This window comes from Homo sapiens, chromosome 4, assembly GCF_000001405.40.
Source record: "Homo sapiens chromosome 4, GRCh38.p14 Primary Assembly".
NCBI lineage: Eukaryota > Metazoa > Chordata > Mammalia > Primates > Hominidae > Homo > Homo sapiens.
In genome coordinates, this window is record NC_000004.12 from 17689963 (window position 1) to 17708667 (window position 18705).

At 43.3% G+C, this 18705-nt stretch overlaps 1 protein-coding gene across 2 annotated transcripts in view; it reads right to left on the reverse strand.

Moving 5' to 3' along the window:
- FAM184B (family with sequence similarity 184 member B) overlaps positions 1-18705 on the reverse strand; it is a 152316-nt gene that overhangs the window by 60657 nt on the left and 72954 nt on the right. For both annotated transcript variants that reach the window (NM_015688.2, XM_047450066.1), the window contains exons 3-6: positions 17687-17822; positions 15790-15929; positions 15038-15244; positions 3340-3450 (exon numbers count right to left, since the gene is read on the reverse strand). In NM_015688.2, coding sequence (NP_056503.1) covers positions 3340-3450; positions 15038-15244; positions 15790-15929; positions 17687-17822 — 594 coding nt within the window. The remainder of the gene's footprint in view (positions 1-3339; positions 3451-15037; positions 15245-15789; positions 15930-17686; positions 17823-18705) is intronic.

Genomic DNA, 18705 nt, shown 5'->3' on the forward strand with positions numbered 1-18705 from the left:
ACATGGCGAAACCCCATCTCTACTAAAAATACACAATTAGCTGGGCCTGTTGGTGCGTGCCTGTAATCCCAGCTACTTGGGAGGCTGAGGCAGAAGAATTGCTTGAACCTGAGAGGCGGAGGTTACAGTGAACCAAGATTGCACCATTGCACTCCAGCCTGGGTGACAGAACGAGACTCCGTCTCAAAAAAAAAAAAAAAAGAATTTACAACAATAAACTCTGCCCAGGGGCATTCAAGCAGCTTAAGGGCACTGAAGGATGAACAGGAGTCTGCCATTGGTGAAGGTGGGATAGTGCATTCCAGACAGCAGAAACAGCAGGTGTAGTGGTAGAGGGCGGGTGGGGTAGATGTGAGGACTGAAGAAAGAGTCCATGTTGGAGGGGCCAGAGTGAAGGACGGGACAGAGGCAGCAGAGCCTTGGAGGATAGTGGTAGCAAGTGAGGTTCGGCCCAAATTGTGAAGAAGATGGGGATTCAAGATTTTAGGAAGGGAGGAGTGGGGCTTTGAGCAGATTTGGATTTTAGAACATGAGTTCTGGGAGTAGCTGGCCTAGAGAGAACGTGGAGGCAGAAAGATCCATGGCAACGCTCTTGCAAGACTCTAGCAACATTGCAGGGGAACAGCAAGGCTATCGGAAAGTCCTTCCAGACTTTCCATAAGGAATATTAGAGAAAGAGATATTTCAAGATTATAAAACTATGCTTAAACTGCGTCTTGCTAAGGTTTATGAAATATTCAGAGGAGCTGGTGCAATTGTTTATGTAACATCTACAAGTGGGGAAAGAGTCTAGGCAAGTCATTCCAAGGATCTTGTTCAAGGCATAGGTGTGGAGACAAGGGAGGGGACAGAAAGGCTTAAGGCGTAGGACCCACAGGACTTGACAAGGATCGGGTGTGATGATAGGGCAGGATTGTGACTAGGGGTGAGGATGGGAGAGCTGGGAGAAGAGACTATGATCAAGGATGACACTTTCATTTCTAGCTTTGGTAAGGTGGGGACAGATTGTAGCATCATTTAGGGGGTAGGAGGAGTCAAGAATGGAGAGCAAGACTGAGGCCCTTTGTCAATGGTCAACCTCTTGGTCATGACTTGCAACTGAATGTAAACATTCAGGTTCTGAGTGACCCTTAGTCATCAAAGAGGCAACATACCATACTAGAGGCAGTATTAGCTTAGCGGTTAAGGGTGGGGTCATTAGAGCCACATTACCTGGGTTTGAATCCCAGACCTGCTACTTGTTAGCTATGCAATGTTGGGAAAGTGATTTACCTTCTCTGTGCCTCAGTTGTGTCATTTGTATATAGAGATGATAATAGCACCTACATGGTAAAGTTGTTATGAGGATTAAAATAGTAAATGTAAACTTCTTAGATAGTATCTTGACTAGAGCAAGTGCTCCACAAAGCTAGCCATTATTGTTTTTAAAAAAAGAGCTCTGGGCTGGGCACGGTGGCTCACGCCTGTAATCCCAGCACTTCGGGAGGCAGAGATGGGTGGATCACCTGAGCTCAGGAGTTCGCGACCAGCCTGGGCAACACGGTGAAACCCCGTCTTTACTAAAATGCAAAAAATTAGCCTGGTGTGGTGGCATGCGCCTGTAATTCCAGCTAGTTGGGAGGCTGAGGCAGGAGAATTGCTTGAACCCAGGAGGTGGAGGTTGCAGTGAGCTGAGATCACGCCAATGCACTCCAGCCTGGGCGATAGAGTGAGATTCCATCTCAAAAAAAAAAAAAAAAAGAAAGGAAAAAAAAGAGCTCTAAGGCACATTCACAGAAATAGGTCAGGGCCCAGGCTTCCCTGACCTGTGTTATTCAAAAGAATGACTGGGCCTGTAATCCCAGCACTTTGGGAGGCCAAGGCAGGCAGATCACGAGGTCAAGAGACTGAGACCATCCTGGCCAACATGGTGAAACCCCATCTCCACCAAAAATACAAAAATTAGCCAGGCGTGGTGGCAGGCACCTGTAATCCCAGCTACTCAGGAGGCTGAGACAGGAGAATCGCTTGAACCCGGGAGGCGGAGGTTGCAGTGAGCTGAGATTGCGCCACTGCACTCCAGTCGGGCAACAGAGCGAGACTCCGTCTCAAAAAAAAAAAAAAAAGAATAACTGGGCTGGTCTCATACATGTACAGGCCACCTTAAGCTCTGCAGTGAGGAGTGGTCCATGTACAACATGAAGACTGGCAGTGTATCTTCAACAGGGCGAGAGGAAGAGATGGAGGGAGGGAGAAGTGAAGGAGGAGGGAGTGAGGGAAAGGCAGAAGGAAGGGAGGACAGCAGGGAAGAAAGGAGGAAGGATAGAGAAAGGCTTCTTTGCTGTGCAGCCCCACCTTGGTCTGGGCCAGAACAGAAGCCTCTATCCCAGAACTTTTCACCAAGACCCACCTCTAGACCCTGAAATATCAACTCTAAGGAAAGACATACTCATCATTTTTTAAAATAATGATTTTAGAAATAGAAGGAGTTAGAGAAACATCACACCTGTGTACTTATCACTCAGCTAAAGAAATAACATGTCACAAATACAGCTGCAGCTCCTTACAGTCTCTCCCTTCTAGAGATAACCACTGGTCCTCATGCCTTGTTTAGATTGACCTCTTGGATATTCCTAAACAATCGATACTGTTTTGCGCATGGCCTTTGTGTTCTTAAAAATTCCCTAGAGGTTGTGATGTACAGCCAGGGCTGAGGAACTGGTTTCATGGGTTCCTGAAGCAGGTGGGAGACACAGGTCTCATGTGGAAGGTTTGAGGGAGGACAGGGGAAGGAAGGAAACTTGTTGACATTTTTTTGGTTTAAGCAGGCTCAGAAATGGCTCTTAGGATTCTGTTTCTAGCCTTTTCCACTAGTTCTTTGATACTTTTAGGGGCCCACGAAAATGTGTTAATTTCTTTTAAAATCAGAAAAAAGTATAGTCTGGATGATATTCATCTTTCTACCAATGCAGTCATAAAATATAAATTTTTAATATTTTTTAATAAAGGAAGGGCCTAGAAAGGCAAAATTGCTAAGAGCCCACAAAGGGGCGAATGTAACCCTGGGGAAGGAAAGGCAGGGGAACTGCAGGCTACCCACTTGTGCCTTCATGAAGCCACAGAACCAACACCAGCGGCCTCCTGTGTCCTTCTCTTATTTGAGACATTAAAAGCCTCTTTGTTTAAGCATCTCTAATCTGGCTCTCTGTTACTTGCAGCTAAATGCACGCCCCCCGAGACAGCCTGCCTGTCTGGCTGAGTGTCCTTTTCTGTCTTCCAAAATTCTTGGCTTCTCAGTTAGGTAGAAGCTCCCAGGGACCAGAAACAGCACCCCAAGGCTTGCATTTGGTCAGGGCTCACCTCAAGCAGAGAATTCTGAAGCTTCACATTGAGGGCTGCTTTCTCTTCTTCCAGCTGCTTTATCTCCTTTTCTGATTTCTTCCTCACTTCCTCCAACTGTGCTTCTACTTCCTAAATGATGATTGGAAGAGTTAACCATACAAGGCACGAAAACAGGACACTTAATGTTTTCACACCCTGCCTTATTCCCAGAGATCAAAGAAGCTTATGAGTGTCATACAACACTGCAAATAAACATAAATTAGACATACACGAGAAGGTCAAAAGAAAACACGTGTTAACGTCACAACACAAAGCCTGATATATATAGGGGTGGGGCGGGGCAAATTGTTGTCTTTAAGTTTTCTAGTGTCAAATAAAAAAATGCTCATTACTAACAAAATTCTCAGTGTCACATTCATTACTAACAAACTTGTCAGTGTCACATAAGTAAAAAAGCCAACTACATTTTCGGATGCAGGGAAATAGGAAAAGCAGTACAAAATTTCTTCTCAACAGCATCCATACATGAGTCAAAATGGTGTGGTTAGCCGGGTATGGTGGCTCACGCCTGTAATCCCAGCACTTTAGGAGGCTGAGGCAAGTGGATTGCTTGAGTCCGGGGGTTCGAGACCAGCCCGAGCAACATAGTGAGATGGTGTCTCTATTTTAAAAACAAATACATAAATAAAATAAAATAAATGATGGGATTCCCAGGGCCTATTGCTCCATGGTCCCTCACCACAGCCCATGAGCCTCAGTGCAAAGCAGATCCAGGTGAAGGAACATTCTGGGGACCACATGAGCGGTGCAGTTACGTTCCAGCTGTGTCATCTCGAGCACATTTCCTACATTTCCTAACCTCTCAGTGACTCACTGTGCTACTCACTTGCTCCCTGCCACTCCAGGTACATAGTAAAGGATTGGTAGATGACAAGCACTAATATAATTCTCATAGAGGGGCCAGGCGCGGTGGCTGACGCCTGTAATCCCAGCACTTTGGGAGGCCGAGGTGGGTGGATCACGAGGTCAGCAGATCGAGACCATCCTGGCTAACACAGTGAAACCCCGTCTCCACTAAAAATACAAAAAACTAGCCAGGTGTGGTGGTGGGTGCCTGTAGTCCCAGCTACTCGGGAGGCTGAGGCAGGAGAATGGTGTGAACCCAGGAGGGGGAGCTTGTAGTGAGCCGAGATGGTGCCACTGCACTCCAGCCTGGGTGACAGAGCAAGACTCCATCTCAAAAAAAAAAAAAAATTGTCATAGAGACCTAGGCTTTCTGTTCTAGCTTAATTTCTGTGGAAATTGTGCAAGTATCTAGAGGAGTGAATGAGATAGTCTGTTCCTCTTAGCTGAACTTTAGGTAGACATTGTGTTACTCATTCATTCAACAAATATTTCTTGAGATCTACTATGTGCCAGGCACTGTCCTCAGAGCTGGGGAGATAAAAGGGAGAATTCCTACACACCAGGAGCTGACATTTGAGTGAAAAAGACAGGCAGCAATCAAAGTCCATGAGCTAACAAGACGGCAAACACTAGGTTGGATGGAGAAATAATAAAGCTGGGAGGGGGCTCTGCAGTGTTGGGGAAGGGCTGAAATGTTAGACAACTTGGCCAGAGAAGTGCTCCAGAAAGTGACTTTAGAGTAAAATCCTGTAATAAGTGAGGGAGTTCACCAAGGAGATATCTGTGTGTGAGGTTTCCAGGACCTGCAAAGGCCCTGGAATGTTCTAAGGACAGAGAGGAGCTGCCATGGCTAGACTAGATGAGGTTTGAGGAGCACCATCTGAGGCCTCAAGCATCAAGGTAAGACTAACCAGTGAGGAGTGACGTGGTTGCAATTATATTTGGATAAGCTGGCTACTGTTTTTCTTTGTTGTTTTTTTTTTTTCTGAGACAGGGTCTCGCTCTGTCACCCAGACTGGATGGAGTACAATAGCACAATCATGGCTCACTGCACCCTTGACCACCCGGGCTCAAGCAATCCTCCTACCTCAGCCTCTGAAGTAGCTGAGACTACAGGTGCATGCCACCATGCCCAGCTAATTTAAAAAAAAATTTTTTTAGAGATGGGGTCTTGCTATGTAGCCCAGGCTGGTCTTGAACTCCTAAACTCCAGCGATCCTCCCACTTTCACCTCTCAAAGTGCTAGGATTACATGCATGAGCCACCATGCCCAGCTTCACTACGGCTTCCTTCTTGAGTACAGACTGATGTGGGTGGAGGCATTGGGTGAGAGCAGTGGCAGGCAGGCCTGGGAGGAGGCTGTGGTGGTAACTGAGGTAAGAGTGATGGTGGCTGGGCCTGTGGTGGCAGTGCAGCTGGGAGGAGGGGTAGAACTTGGGATATATGTGGAATGTTGAGTGACAGGACTCACTGAAAGGAGAGGTCAGGATGACACTAGGAGAGAATGGTGCCGCCATGAACTGAGGTGGGGAAGACAGGAGTGGATTCAGGGACCATCTGAGGAGCTTGTCTGCATGTGTCAAGCTTGATACATCTGTTAGATGTCTAATTAGATAGATAGAGGGTCTGGAATTCAGGGGAGGGTTCTGGGTTGGAGTATGCATTTGAGAACCATCAACATACAGAATGTATAGAGGCATGCATTTGAATGAGAAAAGCTAGGGAGAGAACATGAAGGAAAATATAAGACATTAAAGAACCAAGCCCTCGGACACTCCAAAATTTCCTGTGAATTAGAGGTTACAATATCCAGCAGGTATTTGTAGAGCAGCTCTCCTAGGCTGTCAGTTGATTATAGACCTGTAGATCTAATGGACATGATAACAGTAGCTGACATTTGCTGAGTACATGCCATTTGCTGGCACTTTACACAGATCATCTCTCTGGTCTTTGTGAAAGCAGTATGACTTAGGTACTACCACTAAGCCTTATTGTAAAGATAAAGAAATGAAACTTAAAGAGGTTAAACGCCTTGCCCAGGGTCAAGATTTGAACTCAGGAAAGCCTGATTGGTTGACTGTGCTTCTTCCCTGCCTTCTTAAGGAAAATTTAGTTCCTAGTACAGAAAAATGCTTGACTGTGTGAGTACAGAGGTTGTCATGTATCGGACAACAGCATCACTAGGCTGAGCAGAGAAGACTTGTAGGAAAACCCATGTTTAAGCTAGACTGGAAGGATCATTAAGAACCGGACGGGACCAGGCAGGTAAATGTGGAAGCAGGGAGAAAGTACTCTTCATCAAGATAAAGAACATGGAATGAAAGATGAACTAAAAGGCTGGAACCATCGAGTGTGCTCACGCCTATAATCCCAACACTTTGGGAGAATGAGGCAGGAGAATTGTTTGAAGCCAGGAGTTTGAGACTAGCCTTGGCAACACAGCGAGACGCTATCTCTACGAAATTTTTAAAAAATTAGCTGGGCTTGTTGGCATGTACCTGTAGTCTTAGCTACTCAGGGGGCCGAGGCAGGAGGATCACTTTAGCCCAGGAGTTCGAGGCTGCAGTGAGCCATGATCGCATCACTGTATTCCAGCCTGCATGTCAAAGCAAGACCTTGTCTCTAAATGAATGAATGAATGAATAAATAAATAAATAAATAAATAAATAGTAAAAGGGTGGAGGGCAGAGTTGGACAGGGGAGAGGTGTGGGATGAGGTAGAAGAGAGCAATCAGGAGTGTGCCTCTGTAGGGTCTTAAGAACCATGTTAAGGAATTGGAACTATTTAATACATTATAACGATGATAGGGAGTGATTGGAGAGTTTGAAACCAAGGTTGAATTTCCAGAAGTTTCCACTGCAATGAAGATTAGATTACATGAAGTGGGGAGACTGGAGGCAGGGAAATCATCGCACAGTCCATCATGAAATGGAGGTTGACTGGATCAGCATGGTACCACTGAGGAGAGAGGGAAGTGGAGGAATTCCACAGTCATTGAAGAAGCAGAATTAATACATTTGATGGATGACTGAATGTGAGGGGTGAGAAAGGGATCATGTTTGACTCCTGAGTTTCCAAGTTGAACATCTGAAAAGATACTGCTGCTGATCACCTGCATGATACCTTTATACTTCCTATGGGGCCAAGCCCAGCCTAGGCCAGTGACTCTGGGGAGGCCCTTAGCATTTTTCCTGGGGTCAGTCACTTAAAAGAGAAGAAAAAAAAACCCTGGATATTTAGCATGTGTATAGTCTCTGTTCAGTAAATCTATGATCCCCTTTTGCAGGGCTTGTTGTTTCTGAGAGCTCATTTTCTAAACACAGTATGTAAATTCTCCTTTGGTTTCAAACAAGTTCAGGTAACTTAAGCAATCATCAGCAGCAAGGCCATCCCTTCAACAAAAATTCATTATCTTTACTTCATTAATTAGCTTCTCATCCATAGAAGCTTTTATTGAACAGAAGTTTTGTTTAACATGCTTTAATAAAGAAGACACTCACTAACATTGCCAAGATGTGTTCACTGTAACAGCACAGTGACAATCACCTGTGATAATAATTTTTAGCATAAAGGAATGGCTATTTCTAATTTTACGTAGCTTAACTTCGCAGTCTACAAGTGATTAATCATAGCTTCAGCTGTAACCTTGACAAATGAACCTAATGTGAAAAAAAATTCTCCCTCAGATGGAAATAATCAATTTCAGCAGTAATTTTTGGCATTACTAAGCTTCATGTTGGGTGCAAAATAATGTGGTTTGCTTTCAGAAAACAAACAGTTCTGGGTCACTGGAGAACACAGATTTGAAAGAAGCATGCCCAGTCCAGCTCAGCCCAAAGTGACCTTGAAGATTTCAACAGGAAAATTCCCTTAACTCAGGTAAAGAGAAAAAAAAAAACAAACAAAAAAACAATAACAAAGACAAGGATATTGAGAAAAAAGGAGACTAATGCTCTCAGATATTTAAACTGCTTCAGCCCAAACCTGGAAGACTGTTTCATGGGCCATTAATTTATAGAATTCACAGAGCATTTTCATAAACTCTATTCTCACTGAACTTTCAGATACCCAGGAAAACAGGTTTTATGGCACCCATTTTACACAGAGGAAATCCCACTGCTGATAAGACGTAGATACAGGACTCACACTCATTTTCTGTTTCTTTGTCCAGATTGTCTACAATTACAGGTAATTAAGGAAAAGAGATGTAAAAGTGCCACTGTAAGGGAACAACTGAGCAATCACCGAAAATTACCATGTAGAGATTTCAGTTGGCGTATTACGAGAAAACTTGTTAACTTTTTTCAAAAAGAAAAGTTAATTATTTGGTATATATTTAAAGTTCATGATGCAGCTGAAAGAGTCAACCAGTACAAGGCCTTAAATAATCACTCAGAACCAGTCATTAGCAATAATACCAACACTGATACTAATCAATACATGGGAGACCCCATGAAGTGTCCCAACTCAGTAGTAGGGCTTAACTAGAGTTAGAGAAAATTCTGCTCTAGACTCATCCTAACCAAGCTTAAAAATAAATCTGGAAAATTGAAAATGTTATGTTATGTATAATTTATCATAATAAAAATGTCTCACACAATGAAGCTGGTTCACAAGTAATTTAACTGCCTGTCAAAACAAAATTCAGCAAAGAGGACAACAAAAACTAGATGTTCAACAACTTAACATTCTCAATGTCCAGCATTCAATAAAAAATTACTAAATAGGCAAAGAAGCAGAAAAATGTGTCTCATAAAGAGCAGAATAAAAAAGACCCAAAAGTGACAGAGATGACAATGTTAAAGGAACATTTATAAATGTATTCAATAATTTAAAGGAAAACATGAAAATAATGAGGAGGGAGAAGGAAACTGTAAAGAAGAACAGAATGGAATTTCTAAGGCTAAAAATTATAATATCTAAAGTGAAAAATGTACTGAATGGGTTTTTAAAAAGATTAGATGGTACAGAAAGAAAGATGAGTAAACTTGAAGATACAGCAAGAGAAATTATCCAAACTGAAACAGAGAGACAAGGAATCTGAAAACGAAGAGAACCTCAATGACTTGTGGGACAATATTAGAAGAGAAGCAAGAGCAGGAAAAGAAATGGAAGAAATGGCCATAAAATTTCCAAATTTCATGAAAACTGTAAACTCATAGATTCAATGAGCCTATAACAAAAACACAAAGAAAATCACATCATGGCATATCATAACCAAATTGTTGAAAACTAGTGATAAAGAGAAAATCTTGAAAGCAGCCGATAAGAAGAAATATACTATGCACAAGGAAAAGAAGATAAATGTGGCTGTTAACTTTTCATTAGAATAAAATGCAAACCAAAAGATACTGAATGACATCTTTAAAGTGTTGAAAGAAAAAACAACTGTCAACCTAGAATTCTATATCCAGTAAAAATATCCAACAAAAATGAAGGAAAAATAGAGAAAGAAAATATGTTGTGAGTAGGAGTTGACACACGCTACAAGAAATGTTACAGGAAGTTCTTTAGGCTAAAGAAAAATAATACTATACAGGCACTTGAAGCCACCAAAGGAATGAAGACTGCAGAAATGGCAAACAAATGGGAAAATGACCCTTTTTTCTCATTAACTTTTTTTTCTCTAAAATATGGTTGTCCGTTTAAGCAAATATAAAAGCAATGTACTGTGGGATTTACAGCACGTGTAAAATAAAATACAATATATAACAACTATTGTACAAAGAACACAAAGGGTGAAATGAAAATGTATTATCATGAGGTTTGTATGTGTGAAGTAATGTATTTCAAGACAGACCAATAAATTTAAAGGTGCATATTCCAAATCCTACAGTAACCACTAGCTCTCCACTTTGCCAAAAGAGAGCATACCTAGTAAGTCAAAGGTGGAGCTAGAAAATGGAATACCCCCAAAATACTCAATGTATCCAAATTAAACGGGAAAAGGGGGTGGGGAACAGATGTGACAAGTAGGAAAAACAAGATGGTACACTTAATGATAATTACATTAAATGTGAATGGTCTGAATGTCCCCTAAAAGGCGGAGATTGTCAATCTGTATAAAAAAGGATCCAAGTATACCACAAAAGCACTTTTAATAGAAAGACACAGGTTAAAGTAAAAGGACAGATTAAAATAGACCAAGATACACTAACCGTAAACATGCTGGAATATACATATATTATCAGACAAAGCAGACTTCAGGACAAAAAATATTTCATAAATAATAAGAGTCAATTCATCAAGAAGACACAAGAATCCTAAATGTATATGCACAAATAAAAAGGTTTCAATTTACATGAAACAAAAACTGAGAACCAAAAGGAGAAATAGACAAATCTACAATTTTAATTTGAGATTTCAATCTTCCTCTCTCAGTGATCAACAGAACGAGCAGAGAAAAATCAGTAAGGACATAATAGACTTGAACAATACTATCAACAAACTTGACCTAATTAGCTTTTATAGAACACTCCACCCAACAGCAGCAGATTCAGATTCTTTTCAAGTACACATGAACCATTCATCTAGACAGACCACGTTTGGGCCAAAAACAAGCTGAAAAAATTTCAAAGGAATGAAATGACTGAATCTATTATCTAACCACAGGGGAACCAAATTAGAAATCAATAATAAAATGATATCTAGAAATGTCCCAAATAGTTGGACATTGAACAATATACTTCTAAATAACCAGGGTTATTTTGGAAATTGATAGAAATATGAAAAAAAAATCTGAGATTTTGGTGGTAGTAGCAAATAAAGAAAAAAATTTGAGAAAATATCATTAATATTTGTTATTTAAAATTAGAAAACAGAGGCCATAATGACATATGTCGAGGTGACATATTTAAGATTTGACAGTGAGACTGCTCTCCCCAGGCACAGTGCTTATTACACACTGACTTGACTCTGGTTGTTTGACTAGATCTTGTCCTCCCTACCAGATTGTTTGTTCCCTGAAGACATGGCTGATTCCTGTGTTCCTGCATTGCTCGAAACATAAATATGCATTCAGTCAATGGTAAATAAACAGTAGATGAATAACGGCAGAGCGAGGACCCGAATGTTATAATCTACGGCCCAGGGCAATGTATATTCTTTTATACACATAGACTGGTAGAGAGCAAGAATTACTGGCTATGGAGTCAGACAAGCCTGATTCATATCCAACTTTAGTTGTGTTCTACTCAAGTTACTTAATTTCCCAAGTTCCTTGTCTATGAAGTGGAAAAACAACAACAGAGCTGAGGTCAGGATCTGAATGCTGAGTGGAGAGTTGTCATTCATTTTGGCTGCCAAAGATCTAGCCTCCCTTCCATTTGGATGTTTGAGAACCCTCCATCTGATGGATCAGAGCCCTCCTCTTATTATAGACCTGGAAAACACCAGACTGCCTGCAGCTTGAGCATGGGCACATGACTGAAGCTTCCCAGTCAGGCGCACCTATCCTGGATTGCAAATCACAGGCCATGATGTGGACAGTGGGAAGCACACAGAACTTGGCACCTGCAGTATCCAGGGGCAGCAGGGCCAGCTGTTCTAGAGCTGTACTGACCAACCGAACTTTCTGTGATGATGGAATGTTCCACAGTGTGACGTAGCTAATGTGCAGAAATCACATTTCTGTGTGATTTCTCAGACACTATGCTCAGACCTGTGCTGGCCAGTAGGGTAGCCACTGGCCATATATGACTAGGGAGCACTTGAAATGTGGCTAGTGCCACTGAGGAACTGAAATTTAAATTTTATTTGATTGTAATTAATTCAAATTTAAGTAACCACACATGTCTAGTGGCTTCCGTATTAGATAGCTCAGTCAGTTCTCCAGGCAATGCGCAGGGCCCAGTGTGGGTGGTGTTGGCTGTGTAAGCTGCAGGTCCAGGTTCAGAGGTGGCAGCATAGGTGTTCTAATTTGTTTTGCAATAGATTTGGGACATTATTCCTGGCTGGGTAGCTGCCAAGCCCAGTTCCTTGGTCTTCCATTACGCTTGTTAAATTCCTTTTCTGCCTAAACGCCCAGTTTGGTTTGTGATTCTTGTCACCAAGAATCCTAAGTGATACAAATGAGAATTGCAGAAGTGATTAGCACAGCTCAGGAGGTGCTGAATACATCATCTGCACCCCTTCCCTAGGAGTCAGTGTATGCAAATGCTAATTATAGGATGTGTACTGTGCTGTCCATCAAGATTCGGTGACAGTATCATCTAATCTGGGGTCAAGGAAGGCATCAAGGCCTACAGGTCAGCTCCAGCCCACCTCCTATAGTGTTTTCTTTAGGGTAGGGTAGCACTTAGGATACACAGTATACCTGCAGACAAGGGCTCAAAGAAATAGTGCACTCCTAACTCTACAGGGGAAAATGATATCTATTTTTAGTCCATAAACCCTAGATTGGAGGCCTCTTTAAGGTTTCACCTTTCCCAATCTGCATGGCCTAATTTAAATTCTCAGTTCTTGGAAACGAACAAAATGTAAAACCAAAAAAACAAGTAAGTGCAACTTATTGTGACATGATTCATATCCCAGGTGGACTCATGCCCCCTATTAAGGCTGAAGTGAGATTTACACATTCAGGGTCAGGTGTGGCTGACAGGTTACCAGGGCAACCTGTAGTTCTGCGAGAGCATGCTGCGGTCCCTCCTGCTGCTTGTGGCCGGGGATGGAAAGAGTGTCCATCTGTTTGTCTGAGGATTAGATTTGTGCAACCAGTTGCAGCTCATGTGGAGAAAAAATGCTTTCAATACAGCTGCCTACCCAGTGTGAAGGTGGGGAAGCCACGGGCTCTGGAGTCAGGATATCAGATTTGAATTGCAGCTCCACCACTTAGCTGTGTGTGTTGATATATAACATCTTTGAGCTTCAGCTTCCTCAACTCTAAATGGGGATATGAACATTTTGTAATATTGTTGGAAAGACTAAATGTGTTCTAAAGTATGAGGTACTTTATAAAGTATAGTGGTCATGAAATAATATTATCACACATTATGTTACCCAATGCACATGGAAATTAACAATGAGACCTGGGCATGGTGGCGCATGCCTATAATCCCAGCATTTTGGGAGGCTAAGGTGGGAGGATCCCTTGAGTCCAGGAGTTCGAGACCAGCTGGGCAACATGGTGAGATCCCCATCTCTACAGAAAAATTTAAAAATTAGCCAGGCATGGTAGCATGCACCTGCAGCCCCAGTTACTCAGGAGACTGAGGTGGAAGGATCCCTTGAGCCCAGGAGGTTGAGGCTGCAGTGAGCCATGATCACACCAATGCACTCCAGCCTGGGCAAGAGAGAGAGACCCTGTCTCAAAAAAAAACAAAAAAAGAAATTAACAATACCTACCATATCTTGAACTTTCATTACATGTTTGCACTAAGGGTTTATATATACTATAATACCATATTTAATTTACATAATAAGCCCTTGAAGTATTTAGCCCTATTTTAGAAATCAGGCTTTAGGCCAGGCATGGTGGCTCACGCCTGTAATCCCAGCACTTTGGGAGGCCAAGGAGGGCGGATCACGAGGTCAAGAGATCTAGACCAACCTGGCCAACATGGTGAAACCCTGTCTCTACTAAAAATACAAAAATTAGCTGGGTGTGGTGGCACATGCCTGTGGTCCCAGCTACTTGGGAGGCTGAGGCAGGAGAATTGCTTGAACCCGGCAGGTGGAGGTTGCAGTGAGCCGAGATTGCGTCACTGCACTCCAGCCTGGTGACAGACCAAGACTCCGTTTCAAAAAAAAAAAAAGCAAAAAGCAAAAAAAGAAATCAGGCTGCCGAGAGGTTATATGACCTGTCTACAGTCACACAGCTTGTGTCAGGGTTAAGACTTAGATCCAAGACTAGTCTTGATCTTTCACCAGTTCATTTAACACATAATCTTGAGTATTTACTACTCGTAACCCCCACACAACAGTGCATGCCCCAGTGATACAGGATTATCTTTCAGTGGACACTCAAAGCTGGTACTGCAGAATCTTGGGCTATAAAGAGGCCTCCTTGTAATTAAACAAAGCATTCCACCTACATTCACAATGATATTGCTTCATACTTCCTTCTTTTCTGAAATCTTCACATATGTTACTTACTTATTCCAGCAAACACAAGAGACGAGGCTTTGCATGCCTTGCCAGCAGAAAGCCACCCTGTTTGGAGGGAGAGTGGAACAGCACACAGAGACAGAAATTTCCCTCACTTTGGCATGCTGCTGATTAATCACCTGTATCGACCTGCTGCCCACGTGTCCTAGGCACTAGGATACGCCTTGTGTCTTCACGTGGTTCCTCATTAAATCCTTGCAGCTACTCTACAAGGTGCTATTATTGTCATCCTCCATTTTACAAATTAGGATCCTGAGGCATGTGGAATTGCCCTCTGTGGGGGCCCAGGTTAAATCACTTGAAGTGTGGTGATAGAGTGGGGAATTGGATCCAGGAACTCCTCCAGGCATGAATTTTTGGTTAATGGTATTTCTCTGTGTGTTTTTGCAGAGTAAGTAGAGTTGAATTTCCCTAAGTTCACCACTCGTGACACAATTCCACCCCATGTCAATGACTCCAGGCCTATAGGGGTGTCCCCCATCTCCTCCAAAAGACCCTGAACTCCCTTTGGAGAAGGCATAAGGAGCTGTGCTATCTATCATAACTGTATGTTTCATCTGTGTGTATTCAGAGAATAAGCTTACATTTGTACAGAGCAGGAGCTCAGTAAATGTTTGAGGAAGAAAAGAAGGAACAAAAAAGGAAAGAAAGGAGGTGGGAGAAAGAAAAAAGAACCAGAACAGTCTCTATGGAAGTAGGTCTCACCCTCTGCAGTTTCTTTCTTTCAGCCTCCACGGACGAGCGAACGGATTTGATTTCCACGGTGTGCTTCTTTACCAAGTCTTCTAGTCGCTTCACTAGCTGGTCTTTGAGATGTTTCTTCTCCTCTTCTGTCTGATGTTTGATTTTACGAAGGTCTTCTTCATATTGTTGCTTCATATATTCTGTCTCAGCACTTGCCTCTTTCTTGGTCTATAAAAAGAAAAAGGACCTTGTAAAACCACTGGGGAGGGGTGAGGAGCAAGGAATCACCATTTCCCTTTCATACAACTTTTACAACGTTTATACACTGTTTTTACAGCATGTAGCACAAGGTGCAATCAATTTTACAAGACTATATATTTGATGTTAGTAAAAGTCTCCACCACTGGAAAAGGGCTTTTTGCAATGGTGTGTCTATTATCATGAGATCAGATACTTCAGCCCATACTATGGTAGATTTTAAATAATGCTTTGCTTGTTTTGACTGGGAACATGCAATGAGATCCTAAGCCAGTTTCCAGTTTCCCAGAAGCCGATGATATAGCGTTGGGAGGATTCTGCTACAGTCTCAGTCTCCTGGTTTCCAGTAGCATGGAGTAGGCAGTAAGTTGGCTGGAATTCTACTCCAGGAACTACAGGGTCTTCTGATTCCAAGTGGATCCACTATGCTTGGGGACTGGCCTCTACCTGACGCTTATAATAGATAGCAAAGCTCTCTGTGCCTTCTCCATCCCCAGGGCTGGGTCAGACACTACCTGCATATCTGTGCCTCCTTTCATGCAAGGGCACTCCTTGAGACAGCTTTGATCCTGCTGAGGATGAAGATTGCCGGCTTCCAAGTCATTCTCTTCCCGCAGGACTTTGTTCTCTGAAACTAACTCAGTCTTCATGGCATCTGCAAGCATACATTTCAGCATTATTTGGAATGCTCTTGGCCATGGCCTCTTGTTCAAGGCTTTCTGCTGTCAGGCCCCCGTTCCGCTTTACAACCACTTTGTCCAACATCCCCTGTGTAATTCCTGCCCTGTGGTCTGCTGACCCCGAAGCATGGTCAAGGTAGCAATTCTCATCTCTTCTCAAGAAGCCTCGTGAGCTTAAATAACTGCCCTGCTCTACCTTCCTAAATAACCTCCAAATCTTTTTGACTGCAGTTTCTATAGGTTAAAAAAGTTGAGCATGTTTCAAATATGTTCTTTTAATAGGAATTTAAAGGATGAAACAAAAACCAATATTTAATATAAGCAGAATGACTAAGTTTTCCTCCCATATTCTCTGAAGTACTCATGTCCCACTTTTGAGACCTCTGCTCGAAACCCACAACACCTTTCTGGTTCCTGCAGAACCAGTACCTCCCCTTCTCTGCACCTTTCTGCTCCATGGTGGCATCTTTCCCATGCACGTTATTCGTCTGCTGCCTGGGCCATGTCTAGATACCAAAGCATGCTGTGGGCCGTAAGGTACAGGCCCATGAGCTCCCTGAAGGCAGCTCCCAGGTTTTGTGCCTTTGTTATATCTCCCAGTGTCAAGAGCTTTCTGTTGAGGGCCCTAGGGGAAGGCACTTAGAATCATGTATTTTTGGATACAAGCAAGAGCTCTGTCACCAACCAGTTGGCTGACCTTGAGCCAGCCACTTATCTTTTCTTGGTCTCATTTCTTCATCTGTAACATGAAAGATTGGCAATACTTTTTGGGCTGGGCGTGGTGGCTAACGCCTATAATCCCAGCACTTTGGGAGGCCAAGGTGAGGGGATCACTTGAGCCCCAAATTTCAAGACAATACTTTGTATTTAATTTAATTTTTTTTTTGAGAGGGAGTTTTGTTGCTATTGCCCAGGCTGGAGTGCAATGGCCCAGTCTTGGCTCACTGCAACCTCTGCCTCCAGGGCTCAAGTGAGTCCCCTTCCTCAGCCTCCCAAGTAGCTAGGATTACAGGCACCCCTCACTGTGCTTGGCTAATTTTCTTGTATTTTTAGTAGAGACAGGTTTATACCATGTTTGCCAGGCTGGTCTCGAACTCCTGATCTCAGGTTATCCACCTGCCTTGGCCTCCCAAAGTGCTGGGATTATAAGCATGAGCCACCATGCCTGGCCTGTATTTAATTTTTTAATTTTTATTTTTTCATAGAGATGGAGTCTCACTATGTTGCCCAGGCTGGTCTCAAAGTCCTGGGCTGAAGTAGCCCTCCCTCCTCAGCCTCCTAAAGTGTTGGGATTACAGGCATGAGCCACCATCAATCTGCCCAACCAGATTGACAATACTTATCACACAAAATTATTGGAAAGACTCAATAGCATAATTGTGTTAAATGATGTTAAAAGCATAAAGCATTGTGTAAGTGGTGGGGGGTGAAGTGAGTCAGTGCTAAGAATTTCAGGCACTGTGGTGAGCCTGGTGGGGAAATATCTGGGGGCAAGGGGTCCTTTCACATCACACCTTTTAGATGTCCAATCTGAGCCAGCTCCAGGTGAGGCAGCTGTAGTTGTCAGCTCACCTGTACCCTGCAGGGATTGGTCTCACCCACCAGGCAGGTCAGATCAAGCAGCCCTGCCCCTCCTCTCTGCTCCCTTAGCAGGCTTAGGCTGCCAGTAGCACCAGACCAACCTGGCAGCTAACCTTGGGTCTTTTAAGGAAATCATTCCAGGGCATCTCACCTGTCTGCTGTGTCCCACGACACTCCTGCAGCATCATTCTGTCTTTGGCAACAGCCAGCTTCTCCCCAAGTTTTTTTGCAGTGCCTTTCAACTCTGAATTCTCCTGTCGAGCCTCCTTAAGCTGCACATCCAGGTCCTAAACAGACAGGAAGGGTCCCATTTCTCTGGTTATAGCTCTGTATAGAGACATCCTGTGTACACAGAATAGCCATCAGACCTGAAAGGCGGGTATATGCACAGCAGAAGCCCTGAGTCAGTGGAATTCAGTGGCCCAGGGCTCATCAAATCTCTCCTCATCCTCTGGCCTTCCTTTAGTGAGGATTAAATGAGATAAAGTGGTAAAAAAAAAATGCTCAGGGAGTGTTAGAAATACTAACTGCTGCTACTTGTAGAGATGGGGCTCTGTGCTTTTGTGGGGCTCACATAACTGAATCATCCATGATCCTGCTCTCTATAAACACAAAGTCCTGGGGATTTTAGGTTGCTATGAAACTAACAGGGGCTTTAGAATCAGGCTGACCTGAGTTCAAACACTTATTAGCCATGTGCCAATGTAGGCTAGTCCTTACGCCTCTCAATTTCAGTCTTAGCTTCTCATCTGTAGACTGTAGGTTTCCAAGTTCTCCAACGTTAGGGACCAAGTCTAACTCACCACGTGTCCCTTGCCCATAGCCCTGGGCCTGGCAGATAGTCAGTGTTCAATAAATATCTGTGGGTGGGGCGCAGTGGCTCGAGTCTGTAATCCCAGCATTTTGGGAGGCTGAAGCAGGCGGATCACCTGAGGTCAGGAGTTGGAGACCAGCCTGGCCAACATGGCGAGATCCTGTCTGTACTAAAAATACAAAAATTAGCTGGGTATGGTGGTGGGCACTTGTATTCCCAGCTACTAGGGAGACTGAGGCAGGAGAATTGCTTGAACCTGGGAGGTGGAGATTGCAGTGAGCTGAGATCGCACCACTGCACTCCTGCCTGGGTGACAGAGTGAGGCTCCGTCTCAAAAATAAGGAAACAAAACTATA